The sequence below is a fragment of the Homo sapiens genome, chromosome 1 (genome assembly GCF_000001405.40).
Source record: "Homo sapiens chromosome 1, GRCh38.p14 Primary Assembly".
NCBI lineage: Eukaryota > Metazoa > Chordata > Mammalia > Primates > Hominidae > Homo > Homo sapiens.
In genome coordinates, this window is record NC_000001.11 from 111,846,546 (window position 1) to 111,870,636 (window position 24,091).

A 24,091-nucleotide genomic window follows, 5' to 3' on the forward strand; every position below is an offset into this window, starting at 1 on the left:
TGGGGCTGAATCTCAGCTTCCTATGTACCCAGGTTAAGTCACTTGGCCTCTTCATGCTTCCCCTTCCTCATAAGGTTCTCACGAGGATTATACGGGACAGTCTACAGGACATCTGCCTGGGACATAGTCAGCATCTACTGAGCATTCACAATGACCTTTTACAGAGCACTTGCTATGTGCCAGGCATTGTCAGCACCTCACAGACATGACCTCATGTACTGTTTGTCACAACAGTTTTGTGAAGCAGGGGTTGTCATCTTCATTTGACAATGGGGGGAAACTGAGTCTTAGAGAAGCTATTGCCCTAGGTAATGAAGCAGCCCTGGGCAGTTCTGGATTCAGGTTTGAACGCAGGCCTCTAACTCACAGCACGGTAGTACCTGTGTTCTCCTACTGGGTCTCCCTCACTGGACTGTGAGCCACCCGAGGGCAGAGACGGCACCTTTTGCTTCCATATTCTCAGCTCAAGCCCAGTGCCTGGCCCAGTCTTGGCAAATATCTACAGGCACTTATAACCTACAAAGAGGGGAAGGCATGCTCATGCCTGACCAAAATAAAACCCCATGACGAGGAGTGCTGTCAGGGAGGCAGGGCAAACTGGCCAGAGAAACCGAGAGGCGGGAAGATGCTCTCCAGCAGGCGAAGGAGGGGCAGCAGGGCCATCTTCCTTCCCATAGTATTGGGGTTTTCATATCACAGAGACAGGCCAAAGAGACACCTCTGTATCACCTTTCCTCCTAGAAATTAGGTTACAAAAGTATATTGATTGAGGAGGAGGGAGGGAGGAAAAGCGTGTGAGTGTGTGTGAGTGTGTGTGTGTGTTTTGCTGCAACGTGGGCTCGCCTATGCCTCTTATCCAAGATAAAAATGGCCAAAAGAAAATAAACTTCCTTCAACCATTTCCATGTTATTTTCTGGAATAAACACGTCAGGCAGGGCAGCCCAGAATGCCATGGGCCTTAGATGAGCATTTACAGTAATTCAACAACAGTGAAGCCGTGCGTGCCCGCGTGCATATGTGCAGGCGTGATCTACGTGGGGCTGGGTGTATCAGTCCCCATTCCTGAGGGCAAGCAGCAGCAAATTAACAAAAAATATTCCCACCAGGCCTCACACTGCCAAAGAGTAAATATAATTATCCTTAATCAATACAGGCCCTTCAGCACGAGGTAATGGCTGTCCTGGGCTTAATTGTTTGCAGCAGCTGGAGAGGGAGGATGGCGGGAACAGAATGCTCCAGCTTCCCTCTGGCAGGGCAGGGAGTCCTGGAACTGCAGGCAGGATCCCAGGACAGCGAAGGGGAAAGTCAGAGGAAAAGTTCGACAGGGAGAAGGTCACATCATTTGCCCCAGGTTGACAGAGCTGTTGGTGGAATCACACAGCCCCTCCCTGAGCTCCCATGACAGCACCTGCCTAGGCCTCGCCTCTCCCACGGCCTCCCCTCAGGCCACTGTGCAGTCAAGGCAGGGCTAAGCAGCTCCTTTGCTGCCACCTCACCTTCTTGAGACATTGCCTGTGTTTCATGAGGACCTGTGTGTCCTAGGCACTGAGGGAGCTGACAGACTGGAGCATATGCCTTGTCTCGAGCAGCTCGCTCATGGCCCACTCCTCAGCCACGCGATCGCCTGGAAGTCCCTGATACTAAGGGAGTGCAGTCACGGGGAAGGGAGCTGGATCTTGGGCATGACAAAGGCTGTCTGAGACTCAGCACCTGAGATCAGAACTCATGTCTGTGTAGTCTGCTCTATAGAGTGCTGAGTTCCTGACCCTGGGACCCCAGAGGGGTATGGTTGTGGGTGGGCACCTACAGACCATTTTCTGCATTCGAGAAAGTCCAATGGAAATGTCACACAGCCAGGGCTTTGGGACTAACCGCTCCTTTCCTGATGACTAACTCCTTTCCTGTCCCCCTCCCCTAGGTGCTGATCTCCACCCTGAAGTGACTCTCAGGTATCTGTCTATATAGCTGCAAACAAATAGGCTCACAGATACTCAAGCCAAACCTGAAGGCCTCAGAAACCGTGGACTCCATTCCCTAGGCACTGCACAAGCCCAGGAGGGCTGCACTCACAGAGCCACACAGGCTTGGTTACAGGCGGCATGGTGCGTGGCCCCTGGGGCTGGCCCACCCAGCAGAAGTCCTGACTTTGCCTCCTCTTGGCTCCGAGACCTTGGGAGAATTATTTCACCTCTCCAAGCTTCCATTCTTGCCTGTAGGATGTGGATAGTAAGACCTGACGTTGTAGGGCGTGGAGATGACGTGAGGTGGGCACAGGCCAGAGTAGAAGGATGCCAGGGACGCGGGATGTGCTGTCCACAGGGAGCGCTGGCTGCCTCATCCACAGGGGCTGGGGGCACCTCTCTTCCTTGCTCTTCCCTTTTCCCCTGTCTTCCAGTCTCCAGGCTGATCTCCATCCTTCCCCCAGTTCTCTCCTGCCCCTCCCTCTCCTTTCCTCCTCTCTGATTCCTCTCCTTCTCCCCCGCCGCTCCCTGTAGCTCCCTCCTCCTCGAGGCACAGGCGTGGGAGGTTTGGGCAGCTCACTTGTGCTCTGCTTGTTGTCTATTCCTGGCCAGGTGCAGGTGGCCCTCAGAGACTGGTGGTGTATTGATTGGGCCTGAACACTGTCTAGACACAGCAAACTACCCAAAGTGGGTGCTGCTACAATACCACCAAAAACTCCTCAGTGACTCTCGACTCTTAATTTCCCCTTTTCCTGGTGAGCAGAAGACAGAGGCTGTGACCTGGCCAGCCATCAGCTGTGCCACAGCACCCAGAAACAGCACTCAGCCTCCGGGAAGCAGCAAGCAGGGGCTAAGCCCAGGGGATCTGGCTCAGGGTCCCTACCCAGCCTACCCCATCTTCCTCTCTGCCCCCTGGGGTGGGTCTCTTGCTCCCAAGGACTCAAGGAATCCCACCTCTGTGAAAGGAACACCTGTGGCTTCAGGCCTGGCCCAGTGCCCCTGAGTCCCTCTACCCCTGTGGGTATTGTAGGAGCAGTCCTAGACCAAGCTCTGGGTACAATCCCATTTCTAGATGGGGGAAGCCGAGGAGTCCAGGTAGCAGCTCGGCTTCAAGGCCACTGGTACAACTGTGCAGGTCCTGGCTGAGAAGGGGCTGAAATCTGCATGGCTATATCTGTCGGGGTGGAGGGAAGCACCTTTTCTAATTTGCACAAAGATGCCATTTAGCTTGTCCAGGCCTGGCTCAACCTAGTGTCTTTTTGCTTATCTGTTCTCCTGAAAACTCCGTGGCCCTGTCCCCTGCCGGCACTGATTTCCTCTGTGGCTTGGCTCCTTCTCTGATCCCTTTATGCATTCTTTCTGGGATGTGACTTCCTGTATGATGCTCCAGCCCTCCTGTGACAGGATTCTGGATCTGAGACCCAGCCTCCTCCCCGTGGGCCCTCCATATCTTCCATCGGATCTCCCTGCCTGATTCAGCTCTCGACTTTCTGAGAGCAGAGGAGAGAGCCTACCTTCTTGCCTAGGTAACCCACCAGAGAGCCCATAACTCATCAGACATCTCACCGCGCTCCTTCCTGCTGCATCTTACCACCTTTAACTCTGTCCTTTTCTCTGCAGAGCTGGAGAATATCTGATTCTCCTCTAACCAATCCCTGCCCAAAAATGTCATTTTTCCTGGTCTAGTCCTAACAGGCCCTGCATAGAATTTCAAATCTCCTGGCACCCTCAGTTGGCCTGTTCCCTGCTCCTTGATTAGAGAAGCCCAAATTGCCTGAGTGCTAAGAATAGCATCATCATCAGTGACTAAACAACCCGACTGACAGCACCCCCACCCCAGTGTGCTTGGGGACACAGCTCCTGAGCCTCTACCCCCTCGGGAATCCTTGGAGGCTGCTGTGCCATCTGGGGACCCCTCACAGCTGACCCATAGGCCTCCTTCCCCTTGAAATGTCCCCACAGTGGACCCTCCTTTCCTTGTGAACAATATAGGGATATTTGATGAAGGGGTCTCATCACAATCACTCTGGGAGCCTAACATGTACAGACCCTGGGTCATAGCCTGGGCGCACTGAACTGGAACCTCCAGGACAGAGGCATGAAGCTGTGTGTGAAGATAGCCCGCAGGGGATTCTGACATGGCTGGTCCGGCCACTGGCCACTGGGGACCACTGCACCAGGACTTTCTCGTGTTTGTCTTCAACTCACAAGAAGCCCAAGCAGTGGCCCTTGAGCATTCTCAGCCAGGGACTGGGAGAGTGACCAGTGACATTGTTGGCGGCAGAAAAAGGCTGGCCCCATGTTCAAACACCCACATGACACAGACACATAGGGCACAAACCACAACTGCGAAGATGGAACTGAGCATGTCTCTCACATGAGAAACCCCGTGTGGGGTTTACTCTCTGTAACAGGACCCTGGCACTTAGGTTTCTCCTCAATGTTGGTCTCCTTGTGTATCTCTCATCCATGTTATTGTTGAGCTCCTGTACTGTGCAGCTGTTTAGGTCCCTATAATGTCCTTAGAATCATTCCCACTGACCTAATAACCCCCACCCCTGCTACTTTTTATCTGACAACTCCTAATCATCCTTCAAAACCCAACTTGGACATAACCATTCCTAGGAAGTCTTCCTTGAGCTGCTATTTTATCCACTCCACATAAGTAATTGTTTCTTTCTCTCTTACCTTTAAAAGGCTCTTCTTGTGATGGACATATTCCACTGACTTATAATGATTTTGTTTGTCCGTCTTTCCTCTAGATCAGGGCAGTAACTGTGTCTAAGCACCTTCATATCATCTAACACATGTGGTAGGTGCTTGATAAATGCTTGCTGAGTCAATGAGCGCAGTGTGAGTCTTCCCCTCTAGAATGCAGTTTCCTTGAGTCCTTAAGGACTGTTCATCTTCTAAAAGCCAGCACAGTGCTTAACCCAGCTCACATACCTCTGTGGAATAAATGAAATGTCATTGCCTCCCTTCTGCCCCAAAACTCATCTGTACTCAATGAAAATCTCAACAATCTCATCACAACTCCTCCTGGCAAATTTAGTCACTCCCTTCTCTGTGTTCAAACCTCTGTAAACATGCCTGCATTACAGTCTTTACCCCATTGTATTGCAAACATTTGTTTACTTATCTGTCTTCCTCACTAGACGTGAGCTCCTCAGGGACCAAGCCTGTTCCTCATTCTTCTTGTATTCCCCAACGCAGCACCTAGCAGGGAATCTGGCACAATGCGAACACTCAGTGCCTGTGTGTGGGGTGAATCACCACCATGAGGCGGCCGTGGCTATGGAACAAAGAGTGGCTCACAGCTCAACAGGGACCCTGGATTCTCCAGGAGAGACTCCTCAGAGCCACTGCCCACTTGCTGAGGGCAGTAAGGTGCAAAGGATGTTTACCACGACAGCCAGCAACTTGGTTTGGCTCCCTATAGCCTCCTCTTGTCTCTGCCTCTAAGCTCCCAGGAGTACCTGACCCATCAATCTCTACAGCTGCCACTGTCTGGATAATCAACTATTTGTGGAGGTCACAAAATACGTGGGTCACAGGCTCAGGTTTCTCCCCTGGAGGATGGATGGAGCTTTTCTTTGTCCTCTTCTCATCCTAGTCACCTGCGTTGCCCAATATTAATCAGGTGCCTACTATGTCTAAGTCCCTATTCCAGGTGCTGAAAGCACTTTTCTGGAAAGTCTGAGTGGTCAGTGGTTGTCATGACTTGGAGGAAGGTTGGCAGGGAGAAGATGGAGTGGGGGCTGGAAAAGCAAAGCAAGCCCAGGAACAAGAAATTACAAATGCCTTCAAGGCAGCCTGCAGCCCTCAGCCCTCTGTGGGGCCTGCTCAGCAACATGCCTAGCAGGTGGGGAGTCCTTTTTGTGGGCCGGCAGGGACTAAGCCTGAGCTGTGCATGCTGGCAACAGGCGTCATCTACATAAGCCTGGCCCAGACAGCTTCCAGCCTGGTGCTGGGCTCTGTCTCCGGCACCTTCTTTTAAGGGGTAATCATTTTAATAAATAGGGATTGTGGGCCTCTTGCCTGAGAGTGAAACTGAAATCGAATCCATAATCCAGACAGAGGGGAGTGCAGCTGCACTGGGTTAATTACGCACACACCAAGCATATGGCAGCGCACCTCCAGACCAACAGGCGGAGAGCATTCTCTGGGATGCAATTAGTTCCTGTGCATGCATAAAAAATGAGCCAGCACCTCCAAAAGAAAAATAAAATTGCTGAAGTCATAACCTCAATCCAGTGTAATTACAATCACTGAGTCGTACCACTTAGGTTTAAGCAACATTCATTCATCCGCTCTCAGGCAGGTGGGCTTGCCTAGTGGTGGTTTTCTTCAGCTCCGCTCTGCCCGTGCTTCCTCCACTTCCCCGACCCCTGCTCTCCCACAGCACCCTTTCCCTCCCCAAGTCCTGAGCACCACATTGTTTAACCCTGGTCCTCCACGGTGATGTGATAAGTAGAGCATGATTCTTAGAGTCATAGTAACAGCATGCATGCAGGGAGCCTGGCACTTTACATGAATTATCCACTGATCCTCACGGCAATGCTATGAGATAGGTAATGATACTAACCCCACTTTCCAGGTGGAGAAATCGAGGCTTAGAAAATGCAGTGGGTTGTGCAAGGCTGTGCAGACAGGGTGAGCCCATTGTGCTTGGTGGACTTGGAAATGGAACAACTGGGCTGGAATTTCCAGCATCACAACTTGAGGCAAGTCATTTCATCTTTTTTGAGTCATTTTTATCTCCCCTCTCTGGGAAAGTGTGACAATAAAACTAACTTTCAGGGTCGTTCTGGTGTGAGGATTAAATGAAATCTTGTATGTGAAAGTGGCAAGCAGGCAGCAGACCTTCAATTGAGGTCTGGTGAGCTACAATGCATAGTGATTGGGAACCCAGCTCTAGAACCAGAACAATCTGGGGGGAATCTCCTTTGCTTCTCCCAACCTCCCCTCACTTCCTTCACATTTTTGCTCAAATGTCACCTTGTCAGGCAACCTCCCCTGATTACCCTAATTTGAATCACAAAGCCCACCCCGGCACTCCATAGCCTCATTCTTTGCTTTGTGTTGTTCATAACACTCATTATCTTTTCACACACGGTCCATGATGCTTTCTTTCCTCATTCCTGTGTCCCCACCCCTGTTCCCTACTAGAGTGTAAGCTCCATGCGGGCAGTGAGGTTCATCTGCTTTGTTCACTGCTGTCTTCCCAGCACTAAGGATAATGCCCAGCACCTAGTAGGTGCTCAATAACGGTTTATTGAATGAATAAATGATTAACCTCAGTTTCATCATCTGTAAAACACCACCTTTTTGAGTTTTTGTGAGGATTGCATGAGATGGCTTCTAGAATGCATAATACAGTGCTTGGCATTTGGTACTTGCTCCAAACACGATAGTTATGAGAGATGAGGCTGTTTATTCTCTGTTCACCAGCGTAGCTCCAGTGCTCAGGAGAGTGGTTCATATAAGGTAGATGTTTGCTAAATATCTGCTGAGTGGATTATTGTTTGAAGGTTTTTTGAGCCTGAAAAAGTACAGAAGGCCTGTCAGAACATGGGGCCCCTCATGCTCCTGCTCTAAAAAATGGCCTGTGGCCCACAGAGGGTCCTAGCTGAGAATGTTGTACTGCTCAGAGCATGGCCGCTCACCAAAGCAGGCACCTGGCAGCTGACTCTAGTTGGAAACCTTCTTGACCAGGGGGTAGAGATGCCAGATAAAATATAGTATGTCCAGTTAAATATGAACTTCAGATAATGTAATATTTGGGACATATTTAAACTAAAAAGTTTCATTGTTCTGTGTTTTAATTTGTGAAATCTGGCACCCAAGCTGGAGGATGTATTTTCAAGGCACTCTGAGAAGATGGAGGCATCAGGGAGACCCCCTGGGCTACGACCATCTCTTCTCCTCTGCTGTGGCTAGAGGGGCTTAGCCTAGATAGGGACTTTGGGGAGCTCAGAGGCAGAAAGGCAGAAACCAAGACCTGTGGGAGGTGAGTCGGTTGTCCAGTGGAGGGGTCAGAGGGGCAAGGAAAGGCAGGCGTCGGGTGAGACACTGACCCTTGCCACTGGGCAGAGGCTGGTTCTCTGAGGAGTGGCTGTGAAAGGGCAGCAGTACAAAGTGTTTCTTTGTGACACACACACATCCTGCTCTTAGTTGCTGCTACTAAAATATCTCCCACATTTGCAAATTGCTTCATCCATCAGTCTCAGGGTGGATGTCTCCTCTGTTTGAGAGATGAGGGGACTAAGGCCTCGAGTTACCAAAAGCACTGCCTGTGTTTCCCCACTGGTTAGCTGCTGAGCTGGAGCCTCCTGGCCTCCTGGTGCCGGGCTACTCTTTGAAAAGGGGTGAAACAAGGCCTCGCTGTCTAGTCAGTGCCATTAGGGAACTTCAAAGCACCTGGAGAATCTCACTCACATTTCCTGGGGACCTTCTACATCCCCGGCATCCTGTCACAGAGTAAGGTACCTGCCACTCTGTGGCTTCGTCAGTCCTGCCGCTTAAGGGCTCACCTGACTGTGCCCTGTCTCCATCCTGGTCTGGCCAGCTGCTCTCACCACCCCCTGGGGTCCACTTCATGAAACTGAGATCCTTAGGCCCATGGGGGAGGTTAAGCTGAGGTCAAACCCAGACTGAAACCTCACAACCAGAGCTCCCCTTTTGTGTTCTGGAGCTCCAAGGCCTGGGCTGCTTCTCAATCCTGCAGTGCCCCAGAATGTCCAGTTGGGCAGCCTCCAGTCCCATATATTCCCCTCATGGGGACAAGCCTGCCAGCCTCCCTCCTGAGTATGAGTTCCCAGTGTCCGTTATCCGAAAGCTAACTCATCCCCCTCATCTTCCAAGGTCAGGGAGGCGTGTTCCAGCAAGTGCAACCCAGGGTGACTCTGATCACCAGCTTGTAATTACTTTTCACACCTTGGTTACATCATGATGGTCCTTGAGCTGAGTCTTTGTCTTATGCTAATGACCACATACCAGCCTGGCCTGAGAAGGCTGTGGAGGGGATCTTCCGATAGCAAGGAGGCTGCTGGATCTCTGGCCAAACTGCTGAAATTTGGGAAGCTTTGGGGTACATATCCTTGGGGCATAGGTCAGAGTCAGCATCCTGTTCTCTATATGGGTCTAGGAGGACCATATCTCTCACCTTAGACCTTTTCCATAACCCCCTGCTGCACACCTCCACCCCAGGCAGGTGGCACACTCAAATCAGGGTATGGGAGAAGGTTTATAAAGGGGCTGCCTACAGAGATGTGGGCAGGGTCTACAGAAACCACGAGGGATGGCTCCACTCAAAGGAAAGTAAAGTGGCACTGTCACCATCTAGGCTAACTGGATGAGGGGAGGGAGTGGGACCAAAGCCTAGGAGAAGAGAATCATAGAAACGGCCCCCTCAAGAGGAGCTATGGCCTTCAACTATGGGGCAGAGCCAGTCCCAGATGACCTGCAGGGAGGCAGCCAAGGGAGTACCCCAACCTCACCCTCTTTTCTCCCTCCAGGCTCTTGCCAGGACCCCCACTGGCCAAACCCAGCCAGAAGCCAGGATGGAGAAGGATGGCGAGCAGACCTGGACGGAGACCCTCCCTGATGAATACCCAAGGGACTGCCTCCGCACTCTGCACCTGCCTTGCAGGGGAGAGAAGAGGTAGGATAGCAGGGGTGTTTTCACTGTCCACAGTAAGTTTGGTGAGGGCATGGATGTGGGGTGGGGAGATGTTTTCAGAAGTTTCAGAACACACAATTTGGTCTCAGAAGCCTTGAGACCTTGCACTGTGTGTGGCCCTGGTCAAGTTGCTTGCCCTCTTTGGTCCCTGCTCTTCTCCCTATAGCAGCATTGCTAATTCCACACAGGGCGACTGTGATCATTACAGAGGATAACATGAGTGGAAGCTCTCTGCGTGCTGTGCACAGGGCACTTAGTAGATGTGCAATAAGCACAACCTGAATCTAGAATGGCAGCTGGTGGTCGCCTGGTAGCCTCGGCCTCCCCTCCAAACCCGGGCTTCCTGCCTGCTGTCTCTCTCAGCCTCCCTCAGGCCAGACCCCCCCTTGCACATGGTGGATCCTGAGCCTCTGCCCGACTTGGGGTCAGCGCCAGGAAGCCTGCTGCCAGCCCCACCTGCCAAAGGTGACTGCTGGCTAGCACTGGCCTGTCCCAGCATCTGGCAGAGCTTACTTATGAGCACTGGTTCCAAGCCCCAAGTGACTGCATTGCTAGGTGTCAAGGTGTGCAAAGGAGCTGGGGGCCAGACTGGATGGAGGAGGGAGGGGGACCCAGGGAAAGGGACCTACCTTGTGAGATCCTGTCCCCTGTCCTCTGGGCAAGCAGCTAAGCAGGGCAGGAAGAGGGGGAGGGCCTCTTCTGCCTGAGAGAAACCAGCAGCTGCCTGTCTACCTTGTTAACTGGAGCACAATTAAAGCAGTTAGGAGTCGAGGACGTCTCATGTTTATTCATGTACCTTTGACACACTGTCTTTCTGTGTCGGTCACAGTCCCTGTGGGTGCTTTGTGGCCACTCCTCCTCCTCTAACCTTCTCTGCCTCCACCCAGTTCCTGGACACTCGTCATGCGCCTTCTCATTGATTTCATTTACAAATAGTAAGTGAACATCTGTAAAACGCCTTGCAGTTTACAAAGCACTTTTCATATTCGTTACTTTGGGTAAGCCTCACAGCAGCCCTGTATGGTTTCTAGGATCATCATCGCGGTGTTACAGATGCTCTGGGCTCCACAGTCCCTGAGAGAAGGTGCAGCCCTGGGCGTGGGGTCACAGCGCGTGCTGAGGAGGACAGAGATGTCTGCACCATTCTGCTTCTGTGCAGAGGGCACGGGGCTGGTTTTGCTGACCCAGGTAGCGGGGACAGGACGAAGTGTTCCTGTGGGCTGATGGAGTGAGTGTTGTCCTCCTCCTCTCCTGGCTGAGCTCCGAAGGCTTCTTTTGCCAGCATATGCAGTACAGCCGGGAGAAGTAAATACCCGTCGCTTATGGGGGGTGTTGGCAACCCTCAGTCAGAAGAACAGTGTGGTGATTGTTGCCTCCTCAGCAAATCTATGCCTCTGACAACCGCTTGGCCCAGCCCTCCAGGGGACTCCAGCTGTCTTCTCCTCTCTGTTCCTGTTAGGGGTACCCAGAGTACTCCTAGGCTTGCCCCCTTTCTCGGTGGAAGGTCCTCCCCAGCGCCAGGTGAACTCACTGGTCCACAGGTGCTGCCTCTGGGAGGCATCCTCTGATCCCCCTATCTAAAGAGCCCCCTCCTTGACTCTCCATCTTCTAATAGAATTTTTCTTAATAGTACATTTAACCTTAGTAATATATGAATTTCACTTTTTTTGCAATCTAGAATGAATGAATGATACTAGACCTTAAGAAAGCTTCAACTCATGTTTATGAACACCTACTGTGTACCAGGCACATTTACTTGGGTTATTAAAAAATTTTTCTGATTCTCGCAATAATGCTGTGAGATGGTCTGCAGTGCCCCCATTAGGACAGGAAACTGATACTCAGAAGAGTGACGTGACTTACTGGAGGTTGTCGGCTGCCGGTTCTACATCTCAGCGAAAGGCACCTTCAAACATGTGGCTGCCCAAGTTAGTGAACTGAGAGTCACGTAGGCCTCCTTCTCACCCGTGCCCACCAAAGGCACACATGGAAACAATCATCCAGTCTTGTAAACCCCACTATTAGAGTTTTTCTTAACTCCATCAAATCCCTTCTCCCTTGCCATTTCCCTGGGCAAACCCACCAGCATCTCTTAGGGACTGCCTTACTTTGACGCTTCAAAGTGTCCAGTTCTCTCCTCTGTAAAAGGTGAGTAAGTTCAACCTATCCTGAGCCAAAGTCCCTCCAAAGGCCTATGAGATAGGGTGACTTGACATCATGGTTTTGGGGGCTGCATTATGATTTTTGTGGATCCTTTGCTTTCATGGTCCCATTTCTCCATAAAAACTTTTTAAAAATTAGACTTTTAAATAGCATGGGAATGAAGACAAATATAATCCAGACTAAATTCATTATTATCATGTTGATTTTTTCTTCTGATTAAAAAAAAAGTTAAAACATTGTCATGGGCCCCTAAAAGTGTTGTGGGCCCTAAGCACAGTCTCTCCTGTGCCTGATGGATGGGTCAGTTCTGTTATCCACAGGTCAGTTTTAGCACTGAAAGTCCCCCATCCCAGGACAACCCTCAGTCCCAGGCAAAATGGAGTGGTTGGTCACTCTCCTACAAGGCCTTCCATGATCTGACTCCCCACTGCCTCTCTAACCTCAATGCCTACTCTTTTCCCTTGGCCAGTTCTGCTCTAGACACTCCCCTGCCCCCAGGCTGGTCCTGGATCAAATGAGGACACTCCTGCCTCAGGGCCTTTGCACTTATCCTCCCCTCTGCCTGGCATAAACGCTTGGCTAACTTTATTCAGATCTTTGGTCAAATGTCAACTTGTCATTTGGGACCTTCTGGGACCAGCAGCACAATAGCTCTCTCACTGGTCTCCATTTCTCCCTCCTACTCATGTCCAGTTTTTTTCTCCACACAGCAGCCAGAGTGACCTTTCAAAAAAGCAAATTTGATCATGTCTGTCTCCTATTTAAAATGTTTCTCAGTTCCCACTGTTTTTAGAAGATTGAAACTCTCTAGCATGACCTACAAGGCCCTGATGAGCTGATGCTATGTGTCAGGCTCCTGCTGGGAAGCCACTGGCTGGGAGTTGCAATGCTGACCCTTTTGAAGTTCTTCTTCTCCCAAGGTCCTCTGAGTGCACAGAGAAGCTCTTTGGGCCATCTTGGTCTCAGCATTACCTCCTCTGAGAAGAGAAGAGACCTCAGTGAGCCAGGGAAGGGCTGGGACTGGCATCGCGGGAAAGGAGAGGTTGGATGGGATGACTTCACAAAGCCCTGCAAGTGTGGTACTTTACTCTCTCCCTGAACCCAGCTAGAACCACTGAAGAGACCCTGAAGGACACCGGGGCCCAGAAGGCAAAAGGAGTCACTACTGGCAGGAATTTGGTTGGACATGTTTGCCTTCTTTCAACTCTAGGCATTGTTTGAGTCTGGACAGTACTTTACAGAAGCCACAGTAAGCAGGATGTATAGGATACAGCCAGGAAGTACTTCCTTGTGCCTACCCTACATCTTGCATGCTACAACTTCACTCCTCAGTGGAAATGGAGAGATGGATGATCCTCCCTCCACATGCCATTTGTTTCCATGAAAGCTGAGCCCTATTAAAACAACAAAAATGAATATCGATCAAGCTTGTATCATATGGCAACCACTGTCCTAAGTTCTTTACATGCATAAAGTCATTTATTCCTCACAATAGCCCAAGGAGGTGGGTAGTATTTGATGAGATGAGGGTTTGGAGACCCTGTCTCCTGCACCCTACTGATGATGCCAGGGTGGCGGGAGGTGTGAGAGAGCCTTTCCCTGACCTTTAACGCTTTTTGGGAAGGAATCTTCTGCATGCTGCAGGAAATGGCCCTAAAGACAATCAGGAACGATCCTGAGGTCATAACTTCATTGGTGCTATTCTGATATAGCTACAGCTGAAGTTGACACAAGTTTCACCGTCTTAGATACTACCAACAATAGTTACGGCAGGCACTTCAAAATATTCGGTAGATAAATTAGTTTACTGAGCATGTACTTAGTGCCAGTGCTCTAAAAGGTAAGTTGCACACGTTATCTCATTTAAGCCACACAAAACCCCTAAGAAGTAGCTATTGTTAATCTCATTTAGCAGATAAGGAAATACGGCTCAGAGAGAATAAGCAGTTTAACCAAGGCCACACAACTAATAAACGCAGAAGCTGGGATCTGTCCTCAGATCTGTTTGACTTGCTTCTAACAGCTTAGGTGCTTGATTGATACTTGTTAGGTGGCTAACAAAAACTGGGTTGCTGACAGCTCTGTCTAGGATAGAAGACCAACATTGTGCATCCAGGCCCCTGGGGAAGAGGTGTTCAGGAGAGGGAGAGGAATTTGGAGCATGGTTACAGCTTCTCAGTCCCCCACCCCCCCAACTTGGGATTTAGTTCTATCCATGCTGCTAATGCATGACCCACACTTCCAAGCTCCCTCTCAGCCCTATCTATCCTTGAGCTGCAACTGTGAAATCATAGTGACAGTTCCAGTTTAGTTCCCAGGATGAGCCTGCGATTATGTCTGCCTCAGCAGGGAGGTGACCCCTGTTCTGTCCTTGCCCATGACAAGTGAGCTCTCCTCTCTCATTCAGGTGGCTACTAAAACACTGCCTCCTCCATTTAGTCCTCCCGGGTTGACCAGATGTTGGATGTCAGCTAATGTGGGTTCTTCCATCCAGAGAGAAAAAGCTTTGAGCCCAAGTCTTAGCCAGCATCTGTCCCTGTCTTACTGGATTATTGATAGGACACCTCAGTAAACACTTAGCTCCCAGCAAGGAAGTCCTCCTGTGTGTCCCAAGGGAAGTCCCCTTTCAAACAGGAGCTGTCTGGCAGAGCCCCTCTCACCATCTCCCATTTCCAAAGGGCTTCATGGGGTCTGGCAGAGCTCCTCTCACCATCTCCCATTTCCAAAGGGCTTCATGGGGTCAACTCACCAGTTCTCAGGTGGTGACTAGTTGAGGTTGCCTTTTGAAAACCAAAAGGGCAGAAAGGAGGAAGGGGGGCGGGGCGTGGGGAAAGAGGTAGATGGCGTAGATAACAATGGGGTAGGGGCTTCCTTTAGAGAAAGGGAAAGTTTCCCAGGAGAGGCCCTGTCCAGGCAAGGGTCCCTCGATGACCCATAATAACCTGAGTTTACACCCTGGGTTCCAACCAAGATGTGCTCTAACTTCAGGCTGAGAGATTGAGGCACATAGAGGTACTTTATGTGTAGATTTAGGGATCCTTCTAAACTTCAACTGTGCAAATCCCTTTCCTTTCCCTCCCCCAGCCCAGTCTCAGGAACTTAGAATGGCAAGGTTTTTGAAATCACTTTAAAAGGCTTTTCATTTTGTAGATAAGAAAACTGGGGTCATAAGACTTGTCCCAGGCCCACTGCAGGACCTTGTTCCTGTGTTTACGGAGGGAAGCGGGTGGCAGGAGGGGGCCCACCGGCAGTGGAAGAGAACATGTCACCCTCTCCTATCTCCTTATTCCTCTCCTTCCCCACTCCCTGAGGCAGCATTCCCAGCCTGGCAGAGCAGGGGTGGAGGTGCAGGGAGGGCTCTGCAGGGAAGAGGGGCCTGCAGGGCCAGGGCAGACACCAGTGACAAGAGCAATTTATTTCCCAGGCACAGATTAGATGGCAACTGAGAAATTCTTCCTTATGCCATCTATCAGCGGACCGCCTCCAGCAGCCTCTGTGGGGTCAGGAAATTTGTCTTGACTGCACTGCTCAGCCACTTTATTTGGGCTCCTGTGGTCTGAGTTATGCGAGGGACCCCCAAATAAGTAGAAGGAATCCAACCCCACATCATCCACAGAGCTACTGCCTCACAAACTGCAGCTGCCTGCTCCTACCCTGGGCTAAACAGACTCCCTAAAGGAGATGATGCATTTCCTTATGGCCTGTAGGAACGAGGGCTTTTATAGTGCAGGGCGCTGGCTGGGGAGGGAGCAGCCCCTAGAGACTCTGCCCAGACAGATATCTGGGGTCATTGAGATTTTCTTAGCCTGCTTTGACAAGAGGGCATTGGCTGAAAGTACAGTATTAGCTGAAGGGGTTGGCAAACTTTTTCCAAAAAGGACCAAATAGTAAATATTTCAGGCTTGCAGGCCATAGGCCTCTGTCACAACTACTTAACTCTGCCACTGTACTGCAAGGGCAACAACAGACAATTCAAAAATAAATGGGCATAGCCATGTTTCAATAGAACTTTACAAAAACAAAGTGAATGGCCATGGGCCGAATGCTAATGCCCCCAACCCTTTCACTAAAAAATAAGTTTTGCAATGAAAAACTGTAAACTATGCAATGGGGCCACTGGAGTATACCCTTAATTCTAATATGGTGAGTCTGTAAATTATATCGTCAAGTCTAAGAAAGCAAGGGATCTGCTCTCTTGTGGATCTGTGGCCATTAGTTCTCACAATACCCTTTAATCAGTGTAGGAAAGAACCGTGTAGGAGTTCAAAGTATAGGCTCTGATGCAATATTGTTTGGATTTAATCCTTACTCTACCAGTTACTAGTTGGATGACCTTAACCTCCCTTACCTCAGTTCCCTTCTCTGTAGAGTAGGGACAATAACAATTTACTCTCACAGGGTTGTTTTGAAACTGAATCAGCTATTATAGGTAAAGCATTTGGAACAGTGTCTGGCATGTGATCAGTCTGCACACCTATCTGTTGCCAGACCTTAGTTAACCTTCACTAAATCCTGACCAGGGGCTGGTTGATCTTGGGTGATGTAAGAGGTGGAGGTGTGAGGACACTTTGTCCCTACCAGATGGGCAATACGTGACCGTTCCCATCTAGGCACCTTGGCACTGGACATTTGAGGTTTCTCTTTTTGCCTCTGCCCATTTTGATTAGAATAGAAAGCGGACTAATGATAGCAACAAGAAGAAGAAAGAGAAAAGACAAGGAAAATACATTTATTGAATTGTTACAATGGGCTGGGCAGGGCTAGGTGCCTTACATATTTTGTTTCATTAAATCTATGCAACAAACCTGCAAGGCAGGCATTACTATCCTCATCTTTAGACAAAGAAATTAAGTCTCAGAAAGGTTGTGTGACATGTTCAAGGTCACCCAGACTGACTAATTAAAAGTTCATTCTTTCATCATATTTCTTTTTCACCAACTATGTGCCAGACATTGACTAACCTATTTGTCTAGGAAACAGTAAAAAAAAAAAAACAGCTTATGTTCTCGATGATAGAGATGAAAATTTAAATCAATCTTTAAGGTGGGGTTGCAAAGGAAAGTTATGAGAAGCAGGAAGCCCTCAGCAAGGAAGAGACACTTAATCTGAATCTTGAAGAATGAATGGGAGTCTTCTGGGACGACAAGGGAGAAAAGGTATTCCAAGAAGTAACATCACATGCAAACACACAGAGGCATTCAATAACATTGTGCTTTTGAAAACAGCCACCGATTTGCTCTGGCAGAGTTGCAAGGGCAATCAGAGGGGCAATGAAGTAGGAGAGGCAGAGGTCACAGGGGACTTAGGGAGGCTCTGGTGGCTCATGATGAAGAGTTTGAACTTGATCCTGCATACAATGGGGAGGCACTTAAAGGGTTTTAAGCAGGATAGCAACATAATTAAATTGTGTTTTAGAAATTTAAAAACGGAGGCTGGACTAGAAGGTGAATGCAGCAGGATGCAGGGAGACCAGCTGAAAGACAACTGAGTAATCCAGGGGAGAAATGATGAGGGGGGTTAACTAAAAAGTAGCAGTGGGAATAAAAAATGGGAGACTGGTCTAAGAGATACTGAGGAAGTGGGGAGGCTAGACTTGATGATGATTGAAATGAGGAGTGAGGTGGGAAGGAAAGAATGGAATCTGGGCTGACTTGGAGCTTGCCTTGGATGATGAGATAAATGGGGGCAGCTTTGATATGGGGAGCAGAGGAGGAGGAGCAGGGGTTTACATAATGATCACAATTTCCATTTTGGTCATGTTGAGGGTGGCTGGTGTGGGGCTAGATGTGGTGGAGGGGTGGGCGTGTGGAAGGCAGGATGGGGAAGAAGAGAAGAAGGACACATATTCTTCTCTCAGTCCCACATGGCACTCACTGATAAGAGCTGGGAAATAGCACATTCATCAGGCCCCAAGAGCCAACTTTGTGGGAACAGTGGAGGGTACTCCCAAGATTGCTGTTGGTGGGGCAGCCTCAACATTCAGCTCTAGGGGAGGGTCCCAGGGGAAATCTCAGGTAAGAATTTCCCTTCAGTAAGAACTTACTTTGCTGTGAACAACTTGCAAATTCATTCATTTCTCGCTCACTCTCTCTTTTTTTGTATTTCAGTAAAATGTAATTCTTGATAATTATGCTGAGTTCTAGTTATCTGGCTTCTTAAGGGCTGTAGTGCCATTAACACAGATGAGCAAACAAAGGATGTCCTTGCATGCAGGCTTTCTTTCATGTAGCTTGAAAATATTTGCCTAGCTGTCCTCATCTGCTCCAGACCCCAATCATCCCTTGCTGCTGCTGCACTTTTGCTCCACTAAGGACAGTTCCTGGGACCACAGAAGGCATCTCAGGAGGAACTCCTGACTCAGCAAGGTCAAGCAGCTTCCCAAACTATGCCCTTCAGATGGCCTCACTTCAGTCCCCAGCCTTGGCCTCATAGATGGGCAGAGCAGAAGGAAAGAACAGAGATTTCCCAAGGAGTAAGACAGTAGTGTGCATGTTTGTGTGTATACGTTAGGGTTGGGGGGAAGGGAAGGGAGAGAAAGGCATAGAAGGAGACAAATATGGTCAGAGAGCAACAGAGAGAATGCTCACATACGAGAGAGGCACAAGCAAGACACAGGAAACAGGAAACAGACACAGGGTGGTGGGGGTGGGCAGCAGGCATGTTCGAGGAACAGCCAGACATTCGGCAACCCAATCTTCATCTTGGTCTGAAAGTGTCCTTGGCCATGGTGCTGAATGCTAAGGCCCCACTATCAGGTAGAGGTGGGTGAACCATGCTGTGACTTTAAGCTGTTATATTCACCTAGTTCCTTATTATTAATAGTTATTGAGTAGCCACTGTATGCCAGATATACTGCTACTTGCTTTCACACATAGTCTTATTTAATCACACAATAACTTCCTAACACAAGAATTCACAGAACGGCCACAGGTCTTGCCTTCGGCTATTGAAGCCAAACTACAGTAGGGGGTAGGTACTGATACAGTATTTTACTTTTTGAGGACCTTCACAGAAAGGCAGGGATAAGGGGAGAGAGCTGGTTGCTGGTTACATTTAAATGATTCCCAAAGAGGTCAGGGCTACACAGGGAGTGAGCCAGCACTCATCACAGTGGATCTTGTCAGGGACATGTCCCACCAGAATATGGCCCGTATGTGCTAACAGGGGTCAGGGTCCTGGGAAGTTTTTTGTGTTTCTATAAATTATTATCTTCAAAAGACATAGAAATAATGTCTCTGAAAGAGGATCCTTCATAGTAGAGATTCTAGCAACTCCAACCCATTCCAGTTATATTGCTATTGTTCAAAACAGCTCTGGAATCCTTTTTTTGGGGTTTCCTTAAAGACATTTATGTTTTATTTATTAATTTTTGTGACAAGGTCTTACTCTGTTGTCCAGGCTGGAGTGCAGTGGTGTGATCATGGCTCCCTGCAGCCTCTACGTCCTGGATTCAACTGATCCACCTGCCTCAGCCTTCTGAGTAGCTGAGACTACAGGTATGCACCATCATGCCCAGCTAATTTTTGTATTTTTTTGTAGAGATGGGGTTTCACCATGTTGCCTAGGCTGGTCTTAAACTCCTGGGCTCAAGTGATCTGCCCACCTTGGCTTCCCAAAGTGCTGGGATTACAGGTGTGAGCCACCATGCCTGGCCCAAACACATTTATGTTTTCAATTGAAAAAATTTTTCTTTTTGGGGGCGCAGATTAATTTTTAAATAAAATATTTTTCACTATTTTATTTTTTAGTTCTAATTTTTTTAGTAGATTATTTTTTAAGAGCAGTTTTAGGTTTGTAGCAAAATTGAATGAATACCATTTTATTTTTCTAGGTTTGTTTCATTGATTTTCTTTCTTTCTCTCTTTCTTTTTTTCTTTCCTTCTTTTCTTCTTTCTTTCTTTCTTTTCTTTTCTTTTTTTTTTTTTTTTTGACAAGGTCTGGCTCTGTTGTGCAGGCTGGATGGAGCGCAGTGGGGCGATCTAGGTTCACTCCAACCTCGACCTCCCAGGCTCAAGCCAACCTCCCACCTCAGCCTTCTGAGTAGCTGGGACCATAGGAGTGCGCCACCATGCCCAGTCAATTTTTGTATTTTTTGTAGAGACAGAGTTTTGCCATGTTGCCCATGCTGGTCTTGAATCCCTGAGCCCAAGCAATCTACCTGCCTTGGCCTCCCAAATTGCTGGGATTATAGGCATGAGCCACTGTGCCTGACCTGTTTGTTTCTTTAAACACACACACACACACACACACACACACACACACACACACACACGGCTGAGAAGCTGAGTAGTGTTATTTTGGGTCACAAACGAGGTGTGACCTGTAGTCCTGGTTACTCAGGAGGCTGAGGCAGTAGGATCGCTTGAGGTCAGGAGTTTGAGACCAACTTGGGCAACATAGTGAGACCCCCAACTCTGAGAAAAACAAAACAAAACAAAGTATGACTCTAATGTATTAAAGCTGACTTTCCTCTTTGATTTCTAAATCAGGTCTAATGGCAATTTCTAGAGGGATATTCTACAACTAATCACCAGTGCCAGCACCATTGGATTAAATATGCAGCTTCCCAAGGAAGCCATTTGAAGGGCACTGTGATCTTTTAAATGCACATCATGAAAAAATCCTATGTAGGCTAATAAAAATATTTTTTATTGCTTTTAAGTCCTCGCTCTGCCAGTTAGTCACCTGTGTGATCTTGGATAAGTTACCTAACTTCTCTGGGCCTCTGTTCCTTCATCTGTAGAAAGGAGACAGCAGTAGTCGCTAATGAGTTGATACCAGTAAAATGTGCTTAGAACAATGCCCACCCCACAGTAAGCCCTTAATTGATGGTCCCACCATATAAGCTCTTGCCCGTCATTTTCTAGGCACATCCTAGGGTAGAAAACCCAGTGAGTTGAGGCCTATTAGGTACCTTGGCATGCCTGATGCCTGGCATCAGGTAGGTGCTCAATGTGTGTTTGTGGATGCAAATAGAACTAAACATAGCCCCTTTAGAAGCTGAAGGGCTTGCATCAGGATTTACTGAAAACAGGAATCTCTCTTGGATTGATTTCTATAATCAACATGTTTTAGATATTTTCTGAATATGCAGAGCACCCCAATCCTGGGTTATAACCAAGGTGAGGCTGACTTTGGAAGGGAAACCCGCCTTAGGATGCTTTTAGAGCATCCCTTTCCCTATGGGAACACCTGTATTTCCATGCAGTGGGGTGTTGGAAGGCTGGGGTCTGTGCTCTCAACAGGAGCTCTTTTGGTCACACTGGGGAGCAGTTCTTGCTAAAGTGTTGATTTATGAGTCTTCTTCCCTCTCTCCTAGGGTAGTATGCACATCTAAGAGGGAGAAGCTTTAAAAACTCTACAGATTTTCCAAGGAAAGCATGGCAGGCACCTTGATAGAGGTGAAGAGTAGAATTTTTGATTATTTGGAAGGAACTTGGAAGAAACCCTTCTGAGCACAGTGAAAATCCTAGCAATGTATAAGACATAGTGTCTTCATAGGTAAGAGCACAGGCTATGGGGGCAGACAGACCTGGTTTCCAATTCTGGTCTTACATACACAAACAAGGTGACATGGAGGAAGTCGCTCTAAGCCACAGAGCCTCATTGGTCAGATGGGAATAATCCTAACATCTACCTCATTAGGCTGTTAGAAGATTTCAATGAAAGAGGCCCATAAAGCACTTAGCAGAGTGCCTGGCAAACTAAACATAATAAGTGGTTGCTATTACAGTAGTCCCCACTTATCTGCAGTTTCAGTTACTTGTGGTCAACCATGGTCTGAAAATATTAAATGACAAAAATCCAGAAATAGACAATTCATAAGTTTTAAGTCGTGGGCTGCTCTGAGTGGTGTGATGAAACCTCATGCTGTCCTGCTCATGCTGTCTGGCTCCAACCTGCCCGGGATGAGAACCTTCCTCCAGCACATCCGCTGTCCACGCTACCTGCCAGTTAGTCATTTAGCAGCCATCTGGTTATCAGATAACTGCTGCATTTCCCAGTGCTCGTGTTTAGGTAACTCTTATTTTACTTAATAAAGGCCCCAAAACACCCAAAACACAAGAGTACAGTGCCTAGTTTATAAATTAAAATTTATCATAGGTATGTATGCATAGGAAAATCATAGTATATGTAGGGCTCAGTACTACCCGTGGTCTCAGGTGGCCTCTGGGGGTCTTGGAATGTATCCCCCATGGGCATGGGGGGGACTACCATATTTTTGTAAGCAGCTGACTATAATAATAGCTACCATTTATTAAGCATTTACTATATGCCAACATTTTGTTATACTGCTTCATGCATAGATTTTATCTAAACTCCATAATAACACTTTGAATTATCATTTCTATTTTATAATTGAAGAGACCGAGGCCTGGGAATTTAACTGTTTCTTTTTTTTGAGACAGGGCCTTGCTTTGTCACCCAGGCTGGAGTGCAGTGGCAAAATCATGGCTCACTGCAACCTTGAACTCCTGGGCTCACGTGATCCTCCCATCTTAGCCTTCTCTGTCTCCCGAGTAGCCGGATTACAGGCATGTGCCACCACATCCAGTTAACTTTTTATTTTTGGTAGAGATGGGGTCTCACTATGTTGCCTAGGCTAACGTAACTGGTTTCATCCCAGAGTCATACAAATAGTAAGTGATGAGTCAGGATTTGAGCCTGGGATTCCTTGACTCCAAGGCCTGTCCCCTTAAGCTCCACACCATACTTCCTTCCACACGCTGCCCATCCTGCCCACGGGCCCTCTCACTGCAGGAAGTCAAGTACCAGCAGTACTTGGCTAAAATCAGAATGCTTCTTTCTCCCTTTCCTTCTCCTTATTATAATGTTTCCTCTCAAAAAGTTTGCTTTATCGATTTCAGACTTTTTAAAAAATGAGCTCATGAGACAGGGCTATACAAGCTGTCAGAATTATCAGACAGAAACAGAGCTCCTAGAGGCTCCTCCTGCCACCTCTAGGACCCCCCAGGAATCCTAGATATGAGCTTCCTCCTCACCTTCATCCAAATTTGTCCATCAGCCTGAGCTCTTTCTGTCACAGCATCACTTCACCTTCTTCCATCCCCAGTGCCACTATGGGATCTTGAATGAGTTGGGGTTATGGCCACATTGCATATACTGGCCCACATATTCTTCCAGGGATTGGCCTAACTGGACAATAAATAGGGACAGTCACAGGGTATTCAAAGCTCCAAGCCACCCATTGCCCAATGTGCTCAGTTGGGAAGGAAGAGAGAATTGAGACCAACACAGAGAACATGCACTATGTTCTCTCATTGCCAGACCCTGTGCTAGTCAGTTCCATGTGTATCACCTCATTTAATAACACTGCAAGGAGTATTATTAGCCTGCTTTCACAGATGAGGAAGGGATTTGTAAAGACACTAAATTAACTGCTCACAAATAAACTTTTACAATTTCCCAGAAGACCACGGGTCTTTACTGTGAAGATTAACATGCAGCCAGTAAGTGGTGGATCCAGGTTTGGGATTCATACCTGGTAAAGTCCGTACTCTGTGTGTGTGAAGCTGTTTTCCAAAAGAATGAACACACACACACACACGTACAGACACACATGTCACATGCTGAAATAAAGTGTTTGTATCAAATAAATATCAAGGACAACTGTAGTATGTGTGTTTTTTGAGGGAGTGGAATGGGAAGCAGAGATTAATTGAGACACATACTGGCAGACTAATAATAGGTAAAATTTATCAAGCACTTGCTTGTATCATTTAAGCCTCACAATGGCCCTATGAAGTAAGCATAATTGTTACTCCTATTTTAAAGATGAAAAAACTGAAGCACAGAGAAGATAAGCAACTTGCCCAAGCTTACAGACCCAGCAAATGATGGTGCCAGTTACTTGCCTACTGCCACAGCTCCAACTAAATTCTCTCTTCTGAGCTGGAACTCTGTGGATTGCCTTGATAACTGGCTTTCTATCAGGCTTTGCTAATAGCAGGCATTAGGGGGCAATTGCAGTGCAGAAGGAAGGGAGGTGGGGACTTCTCATTCTGATGCTGGACATCAGAGTCACTGTGTCACAGACGGAGACTTAGCTTGAACTAAGAGGACAGATGATCACTTTGACACTGAAGGAAATTACTGGGAATAACAAAGGCTTATGGCTTCAATTAGAGGGTCAGCTGATGCCAGTGCCATTTTGAAGATAAGAGCATCAGGGATCCAAGGAGGGCACTGCTTGGAGAGCTATCAGCTAGGGTGCCTTGTTAAGAGAGCTTTGATCTGTGCAGAGGGAGCATCAAGTCCAAGATC

At 48.2% G+C, this 24,091-nt stretch overlaps 1 protein-coding gene and 1 long non-coding RNA gene across 8 annotated transcripts in view, besides 2 other annotated features; both read right to left on the minus strand.

Moving 5' to 3' along the window:
* Positions 1-24,091, minus strand: part of KCND3 (potassium voltage-gated channel subfamily D member 3) — a 219,007-nt gene that overhangs the window by 75,884 nt on the left and 119,032 nt on the right. The gene's annotated exons all lie outside the window — the stretch shown is intronic.
* Positions 7,217-10,360, minus strand: KCND3-IT1 (KCND3 intronic transcript 1). The gene is made up of 2 exons (NR_046783.1): positions 10,273-10,360; positions 7,217-7,504 (listed from the first exon to the last, which is right to left on the minus strand). It is a non-coding gene; the product is annotated as a KCND3 intronic transcript 1 (long non-coding RNA).
* Positions 8,559-9,152: an enhancer, noted in NCBI's record as "NANOG-H3K4me1 hESC enhancer chr1:112397726-112398319 (GRCh37/hg19 assembly coordinates)". NCBI's record gives its function as "activates a minimal SCP1, AML or CMV promoter by ChIP-STARR-seq in naive and primed H9 embryonic stem cells {active_cell/tissue: H9 hESC(naive and primed)}" and the evidence as "EXISTENCE:reporter gene assay evidence [ECO:0000049][PMID:30033119]".
* Positions 18,429-18,629: a silencer, noted in NCBI's record as "peak363 fragment used in MPRA reporter construct". NCBI's record gives its function as "represses an SCP1 promoter by STARR-seq MPRAs in K562 erythroleukemia cells {active_cell/tissue: K562}" and the evidence as "EXISTENCE:reporter gene assay evidence [ECO:0000049][PMID:32103011]".